At 36.2% G+C, this 24647-nt stretch overlaps 1 long non-coding RNA gene across 1 annotated transcript in view; it reads right to left on the bottom strand.

The window, feature by feature from the left end:
- Nucleotides 1-1548: 1548 nt before the first annotated feature.
- The window catches only part of LOC101928437 (uncharacterized), a 477888-nt gene continuing 454789 nt past the window's right edge, over nucleotides 1549-24647 (bottom strand). Inside the window, exon 4 of the long non-coding RNA NR_110399.2 lies at nucleotides 1549-4990. This is a non-coding gene — a long non-coding RNA (uncharacterized LOC101928437). The remainder of the gene's footprint in view (nucleotides 4991-24647) is intronic.

Below are 24647 nucleotides of genomic sequence, written 5' to 3'. Positions count from 1 at the left end.
TGATCCAGCAATCCCATTCATTACTGGGTATATATCCAAGGGAAATTAAATCAGTATATCAAAGAGATATCTGCACTCCCATAATTATTGTAACACTATTCACAATGCACAAGATATGGAGTCAACCCAAATTACTGTCTCCAAATGAATGGATAAAGAAAATGTACATATATGCAATGGAATATTATTCAGCCATAAAACAGACTGAAATCGGCCGGGTGCAGTGGCTCACACCTGTAATCCTAGCACTTTGGGAGACCGAGGCAGGTGGATCACCTGAGATCGGGAGTTCGAGACCAGCCTGACCAACATGGAGAAACCCCTTCTCTACTAAAAATACAAAATTAGCCAGGTGTGGTGGCACATTCCTGTAATACCAGCTACTCGGGAGGCTGAGGCAGGAGAATCGCTTGAACCTGGGAGGTGGAGGTTGCAGTGAGCCACGATGGTGCCATTGTACTCCAGCCTGGGCAACAAGAGCAAAACTCCATCTCAAAAAAAAAGAAAGTGTAGAGGCCAAGATTTTCTGAAAAAAATCACTGACATGAGGCAGATTGCTTAATAGGTGAAAAGGCATACAAATTATTTAACATGTATACACAGGAGGCTTCAGAATGATGACCTCAAAGATACAAGGGAAATGATTAACTTTTATAAAGCTGAGGTTAATAACATATGGATAATGGTCTAGAAGTATGATTGAAGAAAAGGGTATGATCTAATGCTAATAGACTGAGTAGGAAAACCCAGCAAGGCCTGTCTGTCTAGACTTTTCTTGGTCTCTCTGAGCCTGTATTCCTTCCTTCTAGGTGTGGGGCAGGGCCCTCTCTGAAATGGGGGTCTCATGACCTACAGTCGAACAAGGTAGGTCAGATCATTTCTTTATAACCAGTTTTTACATAGAATACTTTTAGATTTTATGTCTAGCTTTGGAGAAAAGGGGTTCTGGTTTCTATGACTCACCTTGAAGAAGAGGGATTCTAGTTTCTATGCCTACTTCCAGGGTTTTAGGGTGGGCAGGAGAATGGAACTTAGGGAGGCAGGAGAAGGTCAGAGAAAAACTTTTGTTTCTGAGGCTGCCACTGAGGCTTTCATTTTGGGATATTGTTTTCTGAACCTCAAGAAGAGGAAGAATAAATTCTGGTGTTCTATTACACGGTAGGGTGACTACAGCAAATAACAATATAACATATATTTCAAGAGAGCTAGAAGAGAATAATTTGAATGTTATCACTACAAATAAACTATCAATGTTTACAGTAATGTAAATGGCAATTACCATGATTTGATAATTATATATTTATATATGAGTTGAAACATCACATTGTACCCATAAATATGTGCAATCGCATATGAATTATACATTTAAAAAACAGACTAACAAAAAAAATCATGATGAGGGTATATGTAGGAGTGAAACTCAGGGGGGATGAAATGAGTACTACAATGTAATAATAATATAATCTTGAGGGTGAAAAGGTTTAAAAAATTTTTGCCTTCAATTTTTAAAATGTTTATTTGAAATAATTTCAGCCTTTCACAAGTATTGCAAAAATTATAAAATAATTATTGTGTAACCTTTATCCAGATTCTGCAAAAATTCTGTTAACATCTTACATAATCAAAGAACAATGATCAATGTCACAAAATTAACATTGATATAATTCTATTATCTAAAGATGTTATTCGAATATCACTATCACGGCTCACTGCATCCTTGACTTTCTAGGCTCAAGCAATCCTCCCACCTCAGCATCCCCAGTACCTGGGACTACAGTTGTGTGCCACCACACCTAGCTAAGACTTTCCTCCTAATGGCTCCTTCTTGCCTGAGATCCATTCATGATCATGTGTTGCATTAATTACCAGGTCTTAAGAGTGGATAAATTTTAGTGATAACAATGTACAAGTGCCAATAGGTGACTTAAGTGAAAGGGGGGTGAAATCACATTAGGAAAAATCACAGAAGTCCAGAATATCATTCATTCACTCATTCACTCAATAAGTTCCTTTTAGTCTCTTAAATATGTGCCAGGCATATAATTATGTGCTGGATATTGTCAATAGTAGAGTAAGTATGTCATAGTTTCTGACCTCACAGAGTTCAAATCTCACCCAAATACCAGTCCCTTTAATGATTCTGACCAAAAGAAAAATCCAAAGAGGTTAATAGTTTGATAATTCACCTTGAAATATCTCCAATTATTCAACCATGAGAAGGACTCCCTTGCCAAGTTGTATGTTTTACACTTTGCACTTTGTTGGAATTTAATAAAGGTAATGATAATGATCAGTATTACTGCCTAAAGATGAAGATCAACAACATTCACCCCCATCTCCAAGTAAAAAGAGAGTTGAAATATAAATCGATTTTATTCTTCGTATAGTATTTAATATAGGGAAAATGTAATACTGTATATCACATGAGCTGTCATGCTAAGAGTTAAATGACTATTGCATTTCCAAATAAATGTCTGCATTCTATATTAAGTAATAGATAATAGAATGCCAAAATGCTTCTACTCTGAAAATAAGTGAATTACTGATGGTACTCCATGTCTCCCCACTGCCTATAAGGTAAAACAAATTGCTTAGTTTAACATTCAGGCTTTTTTACAATCTAACTCTAACCTTTCTAGCCATTCTCCATTTTTCATCCTGCAGGAAAGTCTTCCTCCATTTCAAGCAAACACTGATGTACAACATATCCTGCACTCTGTCTCTCTTATTTGTACTGTTTATTCCAAATTCAAATACTTCTTCTTGCTCTCTAATTACCCATCCTTTGTATCTCTGGTGTAGTAATTGCTCAATACATGCTATTAATTCTCTTGAATGTTTTAACTCTTAAGGTAGAAGAAACAAAACCTTGAGAACATCAGTCTAAGAACACTGGCCTTAACCTATCAACAATTAGAATGTGCTTATCAAACAACATAAATAATGAAGACCCTGGGGATCTTTCCAGGCATTCATATTTGTAAGCTATCCTGGTTGTTTCTGCCCAATAAGCACTTTCTTACAGAAACTATAAAAATAAATAGGACATAAGTGTCTCTTAGAATCCTTATTGCATAGCATTCCCAAGGGTTTATTCTCCTGAGTACTACATGTTATAAACCAAGAATACAAGTAAGTATAAGTAGCAGTCCTGGAATATAAAACACTTACAACAAATCTAAAAGGCGTATTCATTATTATTCAAAAGCACCTTCATAGAAATATCAAAAATAGGGATGGCTGCATATAAAGCTGAGTCCTTTCAGTATTAGAGAACAATTAGGCTCAATTATATAGAAAGACTGAATAAAACATTAAGTGAAAAATCATTATGCAAGCAGATGACATAGTTTTCTTTAAAACAAATAAGTTATGATTCTAACCCACCTTTTAAAATCAGCCAGTGTATAATTTCAAGCCACTTTGAATGATTTGAAATGAAATGTTATACTACAGGATTGCTGGTCTACTTTCCAACTCAGAAATAGTAATGAATCTCTCACTATCCGTATAACATCATCCGAGAAGGTGGTGGCGTGGTATTATAAAATACTTGAATACCTGGTTCACTCTGAGCCCACCTTCATACTCATGAACATGCTGTCTTGCTGGCCTTCTCTACCTTTCCTCCCAATTCTCAAGATTCTGACTACATATTATGATGAAAAATCATCTTGATATTTTACATCTTTCTCATCAAACTTCCTTTCTTGTGTCGTCAACTGTTAGAGTGCAGGCAGATACATAGGGTATTACAAATAAAACACAAGAAATAATATTTTTCCTTCATGTTTTCTATCATTTGCTCATGAAAATCACCTCAAAAGAGGTCGCCTTGTGTCTTCTCTATGAATGACAAATGTGGAAATGAAATCTCTCTGAAGAAAATCAGTAGTGAAACCTTGATGTTTAAAAACAATATGAGTTGCTATTGAATTATACATCAATGTCTTTAAAATCTGCATGCAATTTCAGTGTTCCAACTTATAAAAGACTTGCCAGAAGGAGAGAGAAGCAAAAGGGACAAACTAGTTGAGAACATTCAATCACTGTGATATAGATATTTTGTTAATTGTACCTCTGAATTATTTGGCACATGTTACCCAAAGTGACATTTCACAAATTTGCTAGATTCTGAACTTTTCAACATTATCCATTTTAAAAGAAAAAAAGCAGTGGCTTGGATAATCAAAGAAGTCTGTAACAGTGAAATGTACTTTTTTGCTTCAACTTGGACATAACTGGCTCTGCTTCTTTTTGTAAGTTTACACTCCTTAACACAACATCATACTAATTTAGGTATGTAGAGCTTCCCTGTTCCACACGAAAGACAGATTATTAGCAAAACTAAGAAGCAGAGAAGGTTAGTCAGAGATGACCTCTACCTTCTCTCCCTTCTCATTTAATATACATCTTCTCTCTCAAACTACAACTTTCTCTCACTCCTGATATTCATCTCAATTCCAATTCTGACTCTTGTTTCCTGCCAATGACAACTACAATGCTTGCTCTAATTGCCATAACCAGGGTATCTTGATTACCCTCAATCTGAAAACCAACATTTTTTTAGATCCAAAAAAAAAGGCTCCAATAGTAAAATAATGGGCCAGTGGAGGGAACATTTCAGAAGAAATTCTGCCCAGAAAATCTCTTGTATCCATCTGGCTATGTCAAGTGTTGTGTAAGGAAAAGCCATGATTACAATGCTAGACACATAAGTACCCAATAAATACTTGCTGATTTGCACTACATTGTAATTACAATGCCAAGTATCTAAAAGTACATGTCACTTAGCTTTTTCTAACCTTGAATATCCTAAGCACATAATGATTTGGCAGAGTAAAATATCTGCAATTTGCTTTTCCTCCACGATGAGCAGATAGCAATGTGTGCTGAATTGCAGGATAATATCTGCAGACTGAAGTCGAGTCTGTGGTCAGAGGAAATGTCAGTCTTTGACTTAATGAATCTCAAGCAGAGTATTAGCTCACTGAAATAGAAAGAGAGAGAATACATTTTTAAGGCTTTATTTGAATTTCGTAAAAGGAAAGAAAATCATCATGTTTATGCTCTTTACCGTGAAATTTCCAATGGATACTTGGCAACTCCAGTTTTCACCACTGACAAGTCCTCATCTAGGGGTTGCATTATCTTCATAGAGAAAGGCAGTAGAGCAAGGTTTGATGAACTTTTTCTGATAGTTCATGATTCTATTTAATGTTTTCATGAGAAGAAACAACAATGACTCTTCATACCATTTACCTCTTTACTATCCTCACAACCAAAAATAAATATGTTTTGGGGGGAGAAAAAGGCCCATAGGTGATGGAAGACTCCTAATAATGAGAGTTGGGTCAATATACCTGATAGTCAATTAATACTGCACCTGATACACTTAGCTTTTTGACATGGAATGACCTACTCTCATACTCATGAATGCATGTGCAAAACAATGTCAATATGGGCAGCCAGGTACTCAGTAGTTCTCATGGTCAGAAGTTCAGTAGTGAGACACAAGATTTTTGCCTGTGTTGGAAACTGATAAGGAAATCATGAATTATCAGCTGGGCGCAGTGGCTCACACCTGTGATCCCAGTACTTTGGGAGGTCGAGGCGGGCAGACCACCTGAGGTTGGGAGTTTGAGACCAGTCTGACCAACATGAAGAAACCCCGTCTCTACCAAAAATACAAAAATTTGCCAGGCACGGTGGCGCATGCCTGTAATCCCAGTTACTCAGGAGGCTGAGGCGGGAGAATTTGCTTAAACCTGGGAGGCGGAGGTTGCAATGAGCTGAGATCGTGCCATTGCACTCCAGCCTGGGCAACAAGAGCAAAACTTCATCTCAAAAAAAAAAAAAAAAGAAAAGAAAATCATGAATTATGAAAACAATAGCATTCTTACTAGGGGTGATTGGGAGAGACCATACTTTTGACAGTTTATTATACAAATTTAATATCTCATCACAGATGACAGGGGGTTACCTCTATTTTATTCAGGATGTCTAGACATCACACACACCGAATCTTAAAAAATGTGTCATCTTCTCATCTCTCCTCCCTAATTTTCTCTTAAGGACATAGAAGGAAAGAACCCTGAATTATAACCTGCGGGAGTCATGTTTGGTACAATTAAGATTTTATTACTCAATTAATATATTACCTCAATTCATTATAGTACCAGCAGGCAATTCTATTATGTTTTGGTACCCTATTCTGCCTTTCTTGAAGCACTTGTTTACTATATCCCTATTCATCATATCCATATTTATCTAGGCTTCACCCATACTTGTAATGAGCTACAGTAGGGAGTTGGAAACCTAAAAGAGAGTATGGGGACAGTGGCAAGTTGGTATCCTCTTTCCTCAAGGAGAGTAGAGTTAGGTACTTTAGTCCAATCATGAGCAGCAGTGGGAGTGATTTGAGACACTCTGAAGGGTTCATTTGCTTGTACATAGAAAAGGGAGTGTGCTTCACCATACTACAGGGGGGACTGCTGGTTTCCCATCTACTCTTTCAGCTTTTAGAATGGAAAAGGAACTGAGTTAGCATTGTTCAATCACTGAACTGCATTTCATTCTAGCTAGAACTCTCACATAGGCCATTTGTTGCCCAAGAAGGGCCAATGAAGACAGACTTCCTTCTCCTTCCTTTCCTTTTTCATTTCTTCTTGATTCAAGCAGGGAATATGTTTTGACTTGTGTAAAAATAAGCAGGGTGTTTAAATTGTATATTTAAGCTACACAGCAAAAAGAAAGAGTATAACGGAAGCAGGTGTAGTGCTAGGGGAAGGGGCGGGTGGGAAAACTATTCAATCCAAGAATAGTATTCAGTATTCCTAGAGAAAGGAAATAGAAATAGCTTCAGCATAGCAGCTAGTCCACATCAAAAGTAGACAACACTGAAAAATGAGGACAAGTGTGGTATAAAGAATTGCTCCCAGTCACTCTGAACTTTGCCAACACTTGTCAGGACAGTCAGAGTACTCAAGATACATCAAACAGACACTCTTGTACAGGACAATTAGACACATTGTGGAAGGGGGTAGGCAAGAGAGAAGAATTGCAGCTGAGCAAAGGTTGTGAAAGTGGCCTTTGTACTCTTCCACTTAGCTGTCAAGTTTGGAAAAGGCCTGGGAGAAAACGGTGAAATCTCCCACTGTGCTGCTTAGAAAAGGAAACGAGCTAGTTCAAGGATTATTCCTATTGAGGGGAAAAACAAAAACAAAAACAAAACCAGGAGTATCTTAACCAAACTCCTGTCATTTACATGTACCTATAAAGCCCACTGAAAGTATGGCTGTCCTATGATATTGCAAAGACATTCTCCCTGCCTGCTGACCCCTTGTCCCTCACCCTCCACCAATACAAAAATCTCTAATGTTAGATATTCATACATAAGTATCAGTACAGTGTAAGAGTTGTTTGGTATTGTTGATACAGCCTCACGGAAAGGATCTCACAGTCTTATTTTGTGATCTAACAAGGTGTAAAACACTAAAAGTCTGAGACTTATGGTAGGAAAAAAAAAACTTGTTTAGAGAAACTATTTTTTTTAGCAGTGCCAGGGTGGGTCTAAAATAAGCTGATTTTACCTAGGGTGGCACCAGCTTTAAACAACTCCATATTCTCTCATAAGTTTTTCCACTAGAATGGATAATGGTGCACAGATCTTGAAAGTCTTTGTTGCCAAGCACTGTGGCGGGGGGGGACTGAATTTCTGATTTGCACATATCAAGTATTGGCAGCTAGTGGCTCTCTTAAATGTATGCTGTTAAGGATTCTGTAATGTTTTAGTTTGTTACACAGTCCTAGCTCAGCTGAAAAGGCACAGTAGTCTTTAGTATCTGACATTAGAGAAAAAAGACAATACAATTTGTGCCTGGGGTGCTTGGAAAAGCTTCAGGCTTCATAATAATTTGGGTGAGGGAAAATGTGGATAATGACTTTATAATTGTTTCCATAAATGGCAACAACACAGATTATGTATAGTCATAAAAGTAGCATTAGCATTTACCATGAACCAGTCAATCCTAGGAGAACTTGTAGATGCCCCTTTCTGCATACATTTTCTACCTTAGTGATATCCTCCCACCACTAGAACCAGCTAGAGTGTTTACTGCCGAGCCATTAAATTTAGAATTTATCTTGAGGTAATGAAAAGCGCAGTGGACTGTGAAGTGAGAAATTCTGGTCCAGCCTCTGCCACTTACTAGCTGTGGGAAATTTGAGCAAGTACATCCCCTGTTCTGGCCTCTGTTTCTTACCATGGAAAATGGGAAATCTGGATTAAATGAATCACTAATATCCCTTTTACTACCCAAATCCTGTGATTTCCAAATGTTGCTCTCAAACTGCTTCATGCATATCAAATAATCTCAGGGTTGAAAGAGACCATAATACTCTTTTCCACACACCCACTTAATGTTTGAAACACTACAATATAACATTGATGCCAAATGACCATTCAGCCCTTCAAGAAACAATTCAGTGCTCAGAAACTCACTATCTGTTGATTTTTGTGGTTTCTTATATATTGGATACTAATTCATGGCCAGTTTTAGGCACTTTAAGTCTCTTTTTCTAATCAGTTATCTGCTCACTAACGTTATCCATGGTGTCTTTTATTGAACAGAAATACTTAATTTTGATGTTTTTTGAGAGTTTTCTACCAGCCTAAGCTACAAACAGAGTGAATGAGCCACCACAACAGATAGTGAGTTTCTGAGTAAATTATTTCAATAGGAAGTTTACTGATGAGAAAACCCAAAGATTAACAAATAATTTAAAAGATGATCTAGCTAATTAATAATCAGAGAAGTGGAAGTTAAAATAGTAAGCACTCACTTTATATTCACTACACTGGTCAAAATTAGAGAAATGAGTTATCTGCCACATGTTGGCAGAAATGCAGGGCTAGATCTAGATAGCCCAAGAGTTTAATGAGGTTCTTGGCCCATTTTTGTACAGCTCATAAGATAGGAATGGAATTTAACATTTTTGACGGGTGATTCATGAAGAAGTGGACGAAGAAGGAGGAGGAGGAGGAGGAAGAGGAGGAGTGGCAAAGACAATCCCGAGTGGCCTGAAAAGCCTAACATATTTACAATCCGGTTCTTTACAGAAAAAGTTTGTGAAGCCCTAGGCTCTAGAATCCCTCATACACTGTTGGTGGAAGAAGTCATTCTATAGAGCAATATGGAGCTATTTATACATACACTGTGTGACCCAGAATACATAGGCTTACAAAAGTATAAAATGGGACATGTAAGGCTATTCATTGCAACGTTGTTTATGGTGGCAGGAAGTTGGATCACTCAGGATACTCATCACTGGATTTGGGGTTATGAGTCAGAAATGATAGATAATCGAGTCATCAGTCAATTTAATTGGTAAAGTGTGGTAGATGTACATTATGGAGATTACGTAGCATTTATAAATGACAAAATAGATATACATGCAACAAACTAAATAGAACTTAGAAAACAAGTGGAGTGAAAACAGAAATAAATGGAATGACATCTATATCAAAATACCACTTATGTAAACTAAAAATATGCAAGTACAAAACAACAAAACATATTTTACAAGTAGACAAACAGTAAAGGATTAGAATAATTGCCTGGAGGTATGAGAAATAGAAATAGATAAAAACAATCAAATAAGTGTGGTCCTTGCAAGCAGCAATGATAATCAGTGTGCCATCAACTGAGGAGTGTGATAAACTCAATTTTCCTCAACAGAGAGGCAATAAGAAAAAAAGTTCTTAAAATATAATGAATTCTTTCTTCATATAATTCCCATCCATTCCTTGGTCCTAGTTATATCCTCTATCACACAAAACAAGTACAATCCTTCTTTCACATATGCCCATGACAGTTCTTACCCCTTTAGGTCCTTTTTATTCTACATACACAGTTCTACCCTCTAGATGGCTTTTCTTAGTGTGACAACCAGAAATAAATATATTATTCAAGGTATAGCCTGCCTTAGTTCATTTGGGTTGCTATAGCAAAATACCTTAGACTGGGTAATTTATAAACAACAGAAATTTATTTTTCACAGTTCTGGAAACTGGAAAGTCCAAGATCAAGGTATTAGCAGATTTGGTGTCTAGTGAGAGCTCGCTTAGCTTCATAGATGGTGCCTTGTTGATGCATCTTTACATGGTGGAAGGGGTGAAGAAGCTCCGTGGGGCCCCTTTTATAAGGGCATTAATACTAATCATGAGGATAGAGCCATCATGACCTCATCCCCTCCTAAATTGTCCTCCTCTTAATACCACCACATTAGAGACTAGGTTTCAACATATGAATTGGGAGGCACGAGGACACAAACATTTAGACCATAGCATAGGCTCACCATCACACAGTAGAATGAAACTATTTCATTCCAGACACTATACTTCTCTCAAAGAAGCCTAATCAGAATTAGGGGTACAAACTGTGTGTTTTAACTCTTACCTATCTTGCATCATCACATTTAACCCTGTACTAGACATGTAACTTTGTAAATGTTATTTGTTGTTGCATGCCAAATATACTGTATGATAAACATTATTATAAATGCAGGCTGGGCGCGGTGGCTCACGCCTGTAATCCCAGCACTTTGGGAGGCCGAGGTGGGTGCATCACGAGGTCAGGAGTTTGAGACCAGCCTGACAAACACGGCGAAACCCCGTCTCTACTAAAAATACAAAAATTAGCCAGGCATGGTGGTTCACGCCTGTAATCCCAGCTACTCAGGAGGCTGAGGCAGGAGAATCACTTGAACCCGGGAGGCAGGAGGTTGCAGTGAGCCAAGATTGCACCATTGCACTCCAGCCTTGGCAACAAGAGTGAAACTCTGTCTCAAAAAAAAAAAAAAAAAAAAAAAAAGAAGCCCCAAAAAAAACTGTTATAAAAAAAAACTTTAATCTTTAATGTCACTAAAGTATCTGTGCCAAAGAAAAATGTCTCCTCATTTTATAACTTTCTACATATGTGCTCCTAATGCAGAATTATATGGAAGTTTTGTAGGAAACCTGAATGAAGAAGAAATAGGAAACTGAAAGAAAGACTACTCCAGGCTTTATTGGACTTATTTAGGGGCATTATTTTTATTCTTATCAGTGCATTCCAAAGTAGAAAAATGTTTCACCTCTTTTCCAATCCAAATCACACCGAAAAATATCACAAGCTTCCACTGTCTCTCTCCAAAATTGGAAGTTTACTTATGAGACCTAGCATACATTTTTCAGGCTCTGAGAATGAATGTACCATGACTTCTTGCTGTGTATCTGCCTGGAAACTTTTCATCTCAGGAAGTAAGCATGCTTGGATAAAGCTTATTTGCATACTGCAACTCAACAGGACCACAGAAAGCTTCCATCATCAACAACAACAACAAAAAATACCAAAGTGTAGCAGAAACAGATGTGACTCCAAACTTCAAGAAGTCCCGTGAGCATCTGGAGATAATCCATCTTGCTGTCTCTTAATTGCCAGTAGGTTTATCACAACTTCCAATTTGATTTTTAAGGAGGCTGAACTGTAAAAGGGTTGTAATTAGCTCACTAAAATGTGTAAGGCAAAATGGGGAATTGTAATTCATTCTCTGAAGACTCAGGAAGACAGGAAGTCAGGTAAGCAATTCATTCACTTTTCTCAGATACTCTTTGGGCATAGGTAAGAGTCAAGAAACTCCACTGACATTCACTTCTGAATGCAGTATATACATTTATATTTATTTTACCCAGTTTTCGTCTATCTTATGCATGTCTAAAAAGGAAGGAAGTAGTTAACTTTGGGAAAGTTTATCTGTTTTTATCTGAACAATGAAGCTGGCTATTTGCAACACTGTGGTAAGCAAGCTTTAAGTTACAATAGCAATTTGATTTGAATACCGATAAGCCTAGTATTAGGCGTTACAGAATACTTACTAGGCAAAGACTCATTAGGGAAATCAACTTTTGCTTTCCCAACATGTTCATTAAAATTATAGGTCTGAATTTTATTGAGGTATACTCAATATTTATGACTTTATGGAACAACCTGGAGAATCCCTTTCTCGGCATCACTTGTTTGCCTACTAAATATCTACTTGCCCTTCCTTTTTTTTTTTCTTTTTCCCCAAGACAGAGTCACGCTCTATTGCCCAGGCTGGAGTGCAATGACGTGATCTCTGCTCACTGCAAACTCCGCTGCCAGGGTTCAAGCGATTCTCTTGCCTCAGCCTCCTGATTAGTTGGGATTACAGGCACACACCATCATGCCCGGCTAATTTTTGTATTTTTAGTAGAGACAGGGTTTCATCATGTTGACCAGGCTGGTCTCGAACTCCTGACCTCAAGTGATCCACCCGCCTCGGCCTCCCAAAGTGCTGGGATTACAGGCATGAGCCACCGTGCCTGGCTTTTTTCTTACAACAACACAATTTATTTCATGTGTGCACTCCTGCCCCATATGACCCAAGGGTTTAGGATTCTAGTCTCAGCCCCAGACATCAGCCTTAATCAATCTAGGCCAATTTTTGTGGTTCTATTTTTATTGCCAGTGATTGATTTAAGGGTAATTAATGGATTGTAGCCAATGAGACATGAATGAAGATCTGCTGGGGGCTTCTGAGAAAGATTTGTTCATTCTTCAGAAGAAGACATAGATAACATTGCACCTTTTCTGCATCTGGACATTGTCATATATGCATGTGATATATGTAACTGCTATATCCATCTTGTGACTATTAAAAAAACAGCATTAAGATGAAACTGATAATGAGTTCAGAAAAGCAGAGAAATGCAATGACTCATGCACCTAATTATTTAAACTTTATTCATTCCAGGCTCTTAAGTAATGTCATGTATAAAAGCTGACCACAATTACTCTGTCCTATTCTTCTCAGTTCTCCAGGACAATTAATAATAGAGTCTTCACTTGTCCCATCTACATTTAAAAAATAAATTAATGGTTAAACATAGATAATTAAATGCACATGTCTATCTCTACTCCTATCTGAAACTTCTAAATAATAATACAATGTTAATAGTGATAACAATAATAACAGTTGACGATTATTGAACAGGTACTTTGTGTCAGACACTGTTCTAAGTACTTTGCATGTACTAACTTCTATGATACAAGTGCTTTTTTATTTTTATTTTTCAACACGAAAATAAAGGACAAGAAAAAAATAGAAATGCAGACAACTTAAGTAAATGGCCTATGCTCTCTCAGCTGGTAATACGGCACGGCAAGGATTCCAACCCAAAGAGTTCAGCTTTAGAACCTGTGCCCTCAAGTACTATGAGGAATGAAAGGCATAAACCCACGAGGATAAAGGAACCCCAAGAAGAGACAAAAATTGATGAGAAATATTAACATAAATTTGAAAGATAGAAAACAGATGGAAGCATGTTGACTGAACAAAGCTAATTAAATCAAGATTGAAATGCTTACAGAAGGAAATGCTGGTAAGAAGCGAGTTATCGCAGCCCATGGAAACTGCAAAGGCTCAAGAGTTTGAAACACCAAGTATCTCGAAAGATGATGGAAGAAAAATGTATAGGGCAGAAAACAGAGGAATTATTTAAAAACTATATAAGGAGATACTAGAATTCCAGGTGCTCTTCACTCTAGTAGGTGATCAAATGTCTATTCTTTGGAAAGATTTAAGAAAGGCTCCAGATTGAAATTTCAAGCACAGTGGCGGGTGGAAGGAAGAAACAAACAAAAAACAGTGGGATTAAGTGAATTATTTCATAGGAAGAATTGAAATGCCTAAACTCTTCTCAAACACAAGCAACCAGGAAAGAGCTGAGAGAATTTATTTTTGAAGAATCAGTGCCTCCTCAAAGGGGAAAAACAAATTGGCAGTCCCCCTTCCAGGTATCTGTGTCTCTACACAATCACTTTACAGTGAATATCACCAGTTAACTAAGAAAATAACGAAGACCTTTCAAATAGCTTTTTAGTTTTACTCTTAAATATAAATGGTCAGTTCTTTCTTCACTCTTAAATGTGAGTAGAGAGCCAAGGATGTCCGATATTTGATGAAAATTTTCAATGTGAAACATAGGCCGAAATGAACAAATAGAAAAAGGAAACAAACAGAAACAGACAATGTGAGAAAGCATAAGAAAGATTTGAGAAAAACTCTAACAACTTGGAGAAAGAAAAGATATAGGATCATGATAGATTGCCAAATAAAAAAAGTCTCTTTTTGTCCAGCTTTACTAAGGTATAATTGACAAAAATTATAAATATTTACAGTGTATAATGTGATATTTTTATATATGTATTCATTGTCTCATGATGGCTACAATCAAGCCAATTAACATATTCATCACCTCACATATCTTTTTGTGTGTGTGGTGAGAACATTTAAAATTTATTCTCTCAGTAAATTTCAAGTATACAATACAGTATTACTAACTACTGTCACCATGCTGTTCAAGAAAAAATCTTGAAAATTAAATAATATCAAAACTTCTAAAAAATCATCAAAAGAAGTTAAAGGCAAAGTTGAGGACATGTACAGAAGGTAGAACATCAAAGCTATAAAGTAATAATTACAATATAATAAAAAATTCTATATAGCTCTTATAATGTGCTAGGCACTGTTCTGAGCACTTTGCATGCATTAATTCATTTTCTGTTAACAACAAACCCTAAGATAGACACTATTCAATTTCTATATAGGGAAACTGAGTAACAAAGAAGACAAGTGACTTGTCCAAAGTCAAAACCTAGTAAATGGTGGAGCTCACATTAGAACCCAGAACCTCTAGCTCCAGAGGAAATGCTTATCTAACCACTACACTCCCTCCTTAGAGAAAAGAAAAAAAATAAAAGGAAAGTGGTACAAAACATACAAGATGAATCCAAGAAGTCTGACAAAGTGAAGAAAGAAAACACAGAAAATAGGAAGAGAAGTATCAAACAATTACTCCAAAAATATTTCCCATAACTGAAGGACACAGTTGGTGATTAAAAGGGCTTACCATATGTCTCTTCCCCTACTCTCCAATTAAAAGAATGAAAAAAAAAAAAGCCCACATCAGGACACATCTTCACTGAATTTTAGCATACAATGAATAAAGGTAGGATCTTAAAAACTTCCAGAAATATGTCACATGCAAAGGAGCAGAAGTCAGAATTGCACTGGACTACTCAACTACCACAGTGGGAACTAAGATTTTGGAGCAATGCCATCACAAGTGGAAGATGATGCCCCGTTTATAATTCTATTCCCAGAAAATATACCATTCAAATATTAATGTAGAATGAAATTTGTTTCAAATATGCACGTTCTTAAAAGATTGACTTCCTTTTTAGCCTATCTCAGAAAATCATCAAGGACACACTCCACCAAAACAAAAGAATACAAGAAAGAGGAAGCAATATGGAATATACTATTGAGAAAGGTATTCCAGTTCTTTTGAAGAGCTAAAAGATATGAGTTTATACATTGCAAAAAGCTCACTTTTCAAATGATGATAGCCACATATTGATATTACACAAAATTATGATGTAACTTTTTTGAAGTTGTAGGGCACAAAGGAGAAAAATTATTTTAGACATTGTTTAAGGATCAATTAGACTTCCAAGGTCCCAGTTACAACCCTGACATTCACTGGAGACTTTGATACTCAGTGCGTAATCATCCTTTGCTTCTCAAATGTTGTTACAATTATGGGTGATTGTAACATTCATTTGGGATGTTGCATTTCAAATCTTAGCAACATAGTTTATTGCCCACTCTTCAATCCTGGAGACCCTGACCTATATTTTACTTTAGATACCCACATCCATTACCATTTGCTAGACTTTGTCTTCACTTGCAACTACTCCACCTTTGGAAATTATTTTGACTTCATTATCTCACTTTCTAACCACAATGACTTATTCTTCCAGCAATCCCATTCCCATAGGAGTTACTCTTTGAATTTATTGATATCACAAGCATCTTAACTCTCTATTTTATGCAAATCTATTAACATTCTTGGCCTCACTCTTTCCTGTACAAACTAGACCATGTTTGTCAATTGCATTAAATTAATTAATAAATTAGTATCTCATCAGCTTCCTCAATTCTCTTGCTTTCTTATGCTTCTTCCCCACAAAACCACCAATTCCAGACAAATCTTAAAATTTGCCTTCTCCATCATACTACCAGACTTCAAACTGTACTAAAAGGCTATAGTAACCCTAACAGCACGGTGCTGGTACAAAAAACAGACACCTGGAGCAATGGAACAGAACAGAAAACTCAGAAATAAAGCTACACAAACCAAAATGAAATACCATCTCACACTAGTCAGAATGACTGTTATTAAAAAGTCAAAAAAAAAAAAAAAACAGTTGCTGGCAAGGCTGCCAAGAAAAGAGAATGCTTATACACTGTTGGTGGGAACGTAAATTAGTTCAGCCATAGTGGAAAGCAGTTTGGAGATTTCTCAAAGAACTTAAAACAGAGCTACTATTCGACCCAGCAATCCCATTTCTGGGTATATGCCCAAAGGAAAATAGATCAGTATACCAAAAAGACACATGCACTTTTATGTCCACTGCCACCCTCTTCAAAATAGCAAAGACGTGGAATCAACCTAGGTGCCCAGCAATGATAGATTGGATAAAGAAAATGTGGTACATATATACCAAGAAATACTACACAGCTATAAAAAATAATAAAATCATGTCCCTTGCCGCAACATGGATGGAGCTGGAGGCCACAATCCTAACCAAACTAATGAAGGAACAGAAAACCAATTACCGCATGTTCTCATTTACAAGCGGGAGCTAAACTTTGAGCATGCATAGATGTAAAGATGGGAACAATACACATTGTGGCCTAGTAGAAGAGGGAGGGAGGGAATGAGTCATGGGTTGAAAAACTACCTATTGGGGTACTATGCTCACTACCTGGGTGCAATATATCCATGTAACAAACCTGCACATTTATCTCCTATATCTAAAATGAAAGTTGAAATTTGAAAAGTACAATTTGCCTCCTCCACACTTACACACGTGTAATTAAGGGATACTGGAGGAAAAAAAATTCAGCCGTGTGGTTTCCAATTTCAGGCAGATACTGTACATTGCATCTAATCTAATTTACTTGTCCCTGAACAACTCCAGAGACAGCCAAGTCTCCAATTTCAGTGGTCAGTTCTGAACCCTCATTTTACTTGACTTGTTAGCAGCATTAACTTGTTTATCACTCCTTTGTTCTCAAAACACTTTTCTCGGTATCCACTCTTGAGACCCCTCCTTCTTTATTGGCCATACTTTCCTATTCTCCTTTGATGATATTTTTTCTCCTTCTAGACCTCAATTTTTAAGGCTCAATTTTTTTCTATTCTTCTCTTTTCTAGTCAAAATCACTGCTCAAGAGGACGTATTGTATTCCACAATTATAAATAAACCTTGTAGGTTGACAACCTTAAAATGTATATTTCCAGCCTGACCTCTCTAAATATCAAGATACATATATCTTGACTCAAAATCAAGATGTATATATTCAATTGCCAACTTGATATTTCCTATCTCAAACTGAATTTGATTCCCACCTTTTGTCAGTCTGCTCTTATCACATGCTGCTTGGTCTCAATACATGGCAATTCCATTTTCCTAATTGCTCAGACTGACATTTCTAGTAGTCATTCTTGACTTCTCTCTTTCTCATATACCACATCAAATTGTTAATCATATCCTAACAATGCTTGCTTCAAATATATTCAAAATCCACTTATATCTCTTTGCCTCTACTAGTACCATTGTGCTACAAGCCACCATTATTTTTTGTATTAATGACTTCAAGTACTTCGGATATGATCTTCTGAATTCCAGCCTTTCTCTTGTGGTCTGTTTTCTACATATCAGACAAAATCATCCTTTATAAAACAAATGAGATCACAGGACTCCTCCGGTTCAAATGTCACCAATGACTTTGTGTCTCATTCAGAGTAGTTGATAAAGCATTTTACAATTTGACCACAGGTTACTTCTTTGCTCTTATACACTCTGCTTCAACCACACTGATTCCTTTCTTTTCTTCAAACATGACAAGCACATATATCTCTTAGAAATCTTGCTCTAATCTGTGCCTGAAATGATTTCCTCCCCCACCCCCAACCACCACCTTCACAGATTATCCCTCATCTCATTCAAAACTTTAGCTAAAATACAACTTTATTAGAAAGATCTTCCATGTCCACTCCTTAGAAAATAGTATTCCATTCCTCCTATCCCCTTACCTTGATTTTTCTTTATAGAACTATTTACTGCCTGACAATTAAAAAAAATTTGTCCTCCACACCTGTCCCCAAAACAGTAATGTCAGTTTCAAGAGGCTAGGGACTTCATTGCTTTGTTCCCAGACCCCAGAACAGTGCCTGTTAGCAGTTTTCCGAATATTTGCCATTATCAAAACCCTCTACCAACTCTAATCCTTAATTTTACAAATATTCTTTCATCCTATTATATGCATTTTCTCACCTTTTTGTGACTACTCATACCATTTCAATAAGACATATATTCCTACCATTTTACCTTAGATTTATCAATTGATCAAGTTAAATTGTCATTTTGAGTCATCTTTTAGCTGACTTCTCGACAGCCTTTAATCTTGTTAATTTTTTTCCTCTATTTTGTGTATTTTTTTTTAATGAAGGTATTCTTTTTACTTTTTAAATTTTGATTGTTTAGTTTTTGTGGATACATAGTAGGTGTATATATTTATGGGATACATGACATATTTTGATACAGGCATGCAATTTTGCCTCTGTTTTGAAATGCATCCCTTGATATCCATAGCATCACAATATTTTGTTTCTTCTTATGCTTATCATGATTGCTCTTTTTAAATATCTTTAGAATCTTTTCCTCTGTTCATCGATAAAATGTTAGTTTCCTCCAGTGTTTTGTTAGACTCAGTCTGCTTTTCTCCTTTACTCTAGTCATTTTACATAGACAGTCTCACCTAGTCCCATGATTTTAACCACCATCCATATTCAGCTATTACTTTCGGAGTCTTTCTTCCACCAGTGCCTCAATTTTAGTTTTTTCTTTGTTGTTGTTCACAGTGATCCACGCAGACATAAAACAATAATGTGCCTGCTAAGATGTTGGTTTACATGTCCCAATCTATTCTTACTTAGTTTACACATAATCTGCTAATGAACCGTAATTCAACCCAAAAAGGCTATTGCTGTCAAACAAAGCATCTAGCTCCCTGAAATGAGAAATTAAATGAATAAATAATATTTGTCTCCAATTTTGTACAGAAACAATATAATACTGCTCTGTCAAAACATAATTTCACCCTCAAAAAACTGGGGATAGGAAAAACATACCTCAATACAATAAAAGCCATTATGATAGACCCACCACTAGTGTCATACTGAATGGGGAAAACCTGAAAGCCTTTCTTCTAAGATCTGGAACATGATAAGAATGCCCATTTTCACCACTGTCATTCCACATAGTACTGGACATTCTGGCTAGAGCAATCAGACAAGAAAAACCTATAAAGGGTATCTAAATTGAAAAGAAAGAAGTCAAATTATACTTGTTTGCACATAATATGATCTTACATTGGGAAAACCTAAACACTGCATAAGAAAACTATTAGAACTAATAAACAAATTCAGTAGAGTTGGAGAACATAAATCAACATAAAAAATCAGTCACATTTTTATATGCCAACAGTGAACAATGTGAAGAAGATATTAAAAAAGTAATCCCATTTAAAATAGTCACATAAAATTAAATACCTAGGAATTAACCAAAGAAATGAAAAATCTCTATGATGAAAACTATGAAATACTGATGAGAGAAATTGAAGAGGACACCAAAAGATGAAAAAATATTACATGTTCATGGATTAGAAAAATCAATATTGTTAAAGTGTCCATACTACCCAAAGCAATCTATAAATTCAATGCAAAACCAAAGGCATTCTTTGCAGAAATTTTTTTTTTAAATCTTAAAATGTATATGGAACCACAAAAGGCCCAGAACAGCTAAAGCTACCCCCAGCAAAAAGAAAAAAACTGGAAGAATCATATTACCTGACCTCAAATTATACTACAGAGCTATCATAACCAAAACACTAAGGTATTGGCATAAAAACAGACACATAGACCAATGGAACAGAATAGAGAACTTGGAAAGAAATCCGCTCCTACAGTGAACTCATTTTTGAAAAAGGTGCCAAAAACATACACTGGGAAAGAGACAGTCTGTTTGATAAATTGTGCTGGGAAAACTGGATATTCATATGTGGAAGAATGAAACTAGATCCCTATCTCTTGCCATATACAAAAATCAAATCAAAGTGATTAATTACTTAAATCTAAGACTTCAAACTATGAAAATACTACAAGAAAACATTGGGGAAAAACTCTAGGATATTGGTCTGGGCAAAAAATTCTTGAGCAATACTCTATAAGTACAGGTAACTCAAGTGAAGTTGGAAAAATGGGATCATATTAAGTTAAAAAGCTTGTGCACAGCAAATGATACAATCAACAAAGTGAAGAGACAACCTATAGAATGGGAGAAAATATTTGCAAACTACCCATCTGACAAGGGATTAATAATCAGAATATATAAGGAGCTCATAAAAACTCTAAAGGAAAAAAATCTAATAATCCAATTTTAAAAATGGGCAAAAGATTTGAATAGACATTTCTTAAAAGAAGACATACAAATGACAAACAGCCATATGAAAAGGTGTTCAACATCATTGATCATCACAGAAATGCAAATCAAAACAATGAGATACTATCTCACCTCAGTTTAAATGCCTTATATCCAAAAGACAGGCAATAACAAATGCTGGTGAGGATGTGGAAAAAAGGGAACCTGCATACACTGTTGGTAGGAATGTAAGTTAGTACAACCGCTATGGGGAACAGTTTGGAGGTTCTTCAAAAAACTAAAAGTTGAGCTACCATATGATCCAGCAATCTCACTACTGGGTATATACCCAAAAGAAAGGAAATCAGTATATTGAGAAGATGTCTGCACTCCTACATTTGTTGGAGTACTGTTTAAAATTGCGAAGGTTTGGAAGTGACCTAAGTGTACATCAACAGATGAATGGAAAAAGAAAATGCGGTATATATATACAATGAAGTATTATTTAGCCATAAAACATAGTGAGATCCTGTCATTTGCAACAACATGGATGGAACTGGAGATCATTTTGTTAAGTGAGATAAGTCCTGCACAGAAAGACAAACATTGCATGTTTCCACTTATCTTTATGATCTAAGAATCAAAACAATGTAATTTATGGATATAGAGAGTAGAAGGATGGTTACCGGAGGCTGGGAAGGTTAGCAGGGGACTGGGGCAGGTGAGATGGGGATGGTTAATGGGTACAGAAAAAACAGAAAGAATGAATGACCCCTACTGTTTGATAACACAACAGTGTAACTATAGTCAATAATAGCTTCGTTGTACAGTTTAAAATATTTCAAAGAGTATAATTGGATTGTTGTAACTCAAAGAATAAATGTTCAAGGGGATGAATACCCCATTCTTCATGATGTGCTTATTTCACATTGCATGCCTGTATCAAAATATCTCATGTACCCCATAAATATATATATATATACACAAAAAAATAAAAATCTATACAAATCCTCAAAACATAAATCTTCTTCTTTTTCAGGAAAGAGATACAGAAAATTGTGAAGGTATATATAGAAGCACAAAAATGCAGCATTTTCCTTGGAAACAGATTAAGCGAAGTTCTGATGTCCTTTCTTCTCTCTTATCTTATATGGCAACAAGATTCCTCATGGTCACCTTCCATCTTTGGAAGTCTATGCCAGCTATGGCCTGCATAAAGACCAGGTTTAAAATTATTCTTTACTCTCCCTGCTAGGTACTCTGCAATTGGGTTCAGGCTTGATCCAAGGGAAAAACAGACTCTCAGAATTATCTGCGAATATGGGCTCAGATAAAATAATTCCAAAAGCAACAAAATGGAAATGCCATTGCAGAATATGGCAAGGATTGCAAGTAGGTATTGGGTAATTTAAAAGCCTTACCTCTAGTCTCCCTGCTACAGTGTTAGGTACATAGTAGTAATTCAATAAATACATATTGAATGAATGACTCTTTGGTATAATATTAGGGACAACAAAAAATGTTTTTCTAACTATCTTGTCTAAAAATACTTCCTTCTCTTATCTATTATAGACGGAGACATGCTATGTTTCTCTGTGGGTGAGAAAAGCTCTTTTAATAAAGATTTTCTTAGAAAGTTTTAGGTGATACTCTAACAGTTTCTAGATGATTCATCAAACAAAAAATGCTTGTGATAATCCAGATCCTTGCAAGAATGAGAAGAAATTAATCCACTTACAGGTGCCTTGCCAAGTCCTGTTGACCTTTATTTCTAGCCACAAAAAAACCAAGCCAAGGTTTTAACTCTCATTTTTAATATGTTAATATCTGGTGAGATTGCCATAGTTTCTATGTCCATTTAATTTCTATTCATGTTTACATTTTCTGTTCATGTTAAAACATATATATCATAGACATTGTGTGTGTCTGTGATTTCAATTTAGTAATGGCTAAAATTGTCCCATGCAGAAAAGTAGACATCTTTTGAAGAACCACAGTTTAGAGGAAAGATTTCTAAGTAGAATAGTTTTCAGAAAACATTGAGGACAAAAAGGGATGGCAGCTTGCAGAGCACTGGCTAGGATGAATATCGGTTTTCAACAGAGGTAAGATAGTATTACTAACTTTTGAATAGAAAATTGTAGTATATATTTTATAGAATAATTTCAAGGACAGTTGAGCAACAAGAGAAAATACTATTCTAAGAGAATGAATAAGACTAACTTGCTGAAGCTATAGGAATTTGTGGACGCCATGTTACACCAACCACTCTAATACCATCCAAAGTCTGTCTTCACAAAGACACGTTCAAATCCTTTCTTATATCTGATTGACTAGGATGTCTAAACCTAATTAAAATATTGGTCATCATTGTCTAATTGTTTTTGAGCTTGCTCCTGAAGTACATGTATATGTAGCAGAAGGATTTCCTTTTATTTTCCTAACAACATAGGGTAGAAGAGGGAATCTTTTACAATGGAAACCTGGCTAGGATTCAACTAAAACCACAAGGTCCAAGAATGTTATCACTGTACTTTTCACTTTACTTCCATCATTACCCACAGAGTTGTATTAATTTCTTTGTTTGGTGTTGCTATTTTATGGTAGAGTGGGGTGGTTGGGGGTGTTAGTGGTCTAGTGCTGTAGTATATGGTTCATCTTTCTTCCCTGCTTAGTATGGAACACTTGTTCTCAAACTTGGTTTATGTGGGAATCTTTATTTCTAAGGCTCTCCAGGTGATCAGGATGATTAACAAGGTCTTAGAAAAAATGAGATACAATATTGGTTAAGAGCATGAACTTCAAAGCCACATAGATTTGTATTCAAAATTTGATTACCCTTTACCAGCCTATGGCCTTAAGCAAGTTACCTAACCACTGCAAATCTCAGAAGGATAATACTTATCCTACAGTGTTATTTGAGGAATCAATGAGTTAATATATGTGCTATGGTCTGAATGTTTGTGTTCTCCCAAAATTTATATGTTGAAATTCTAACCCCTAAGTTGTTGGTATTATGAGGTGGGGTGTTTGGGAAGTTATTAGGTAATGAGGGTGGAGTCCTCATGAATGGAAGGGATCCCAGATCTCTTTTATAAGGACATTAATACACTTTTAAAGCTTTCTAGATAATCAAAGATTTGAAGTTTTCAGTTCATTATTGTAAAGGGGACACATATGTAAAGAGAAAAGCTAGCTTCTTCCACCATGCGAAGACACAGTGAGAAAGTGTCATCTATGGACCAGAAAACAGGCCCTCATCAAACAAACTGGCTGGCTCCTTGCTCTTGGACTTCCCAGCCTCCAAAACTATGAGAAATGAGTGTTTGTTGTTTATAAGCCAACCAGTTTATGGTATTTTGTTATAGCAGCCTGAATGGACTAAGACAATATGCAAATCTACGTAGTCCAGTTTATAGCATGTAGTGAATAGTCTAGAAGTGATAGCTATTGCTAGTTTTATCAAACAAAACACAAAGTCTAGAAAATAATTTTTTGGCACACATAACTCTTGATTATAGTAGTACTTCCTCACCTTCTCTTTGCCCTCCTCTCACCACACATACAATCACTCAGTGACTGCAAAAATAATTTTTCACCATGAGTAAAGCTCAATCAATGTGATTTAGAACTTCATCACTGCAATTCAGTACCTTACACCATACGGTTTGGTGCAAGCCAAACGTTATTCTTTTCAAAGGGAAAGATTCATTTTTATTATTTCGGAGATGTCACATATCACTGAAGTAAGCCATAAAAGAAATTGATCTTGGAAAATGCAATTTCAGTTGAGAGCCTGGACCTAGCAAACTGCAGCAAGGCCCCCAAATGAGTCTGGCTCTCAGGGAATCAGTATCATATAGAGCAAAAGCCTGGTCTTTTGCTTTATTTTTGAAAGACTGGTCAGGCTGAAATTGTTGAGCAATTAACATTTGTTGTCTACCACCAGGAGCAGCAGTTTGAGGATGTCAACTCACTGCATAATTTGCAGGTATTGGGGTTGCCAAGAAAGATACAGCTCACTCAGGCACC

The sequence above is a fragment of the Homo sapiens genome, chromosome X (genome assembly GCF_000001405.40).
Source record: "Homo sapiens chromosome X, GRCh38.p14 Primary Assembly".
Taxonomy (NCBI): domain Eukaryota; kingdom Metazoa; phylum Chordata; class Mammalia; order Primates; family Hominidae; genus Homo; species Homo sapiens.
This window is presented reverse-complemented; position numbering and strand designations above follow the sequence as displayed.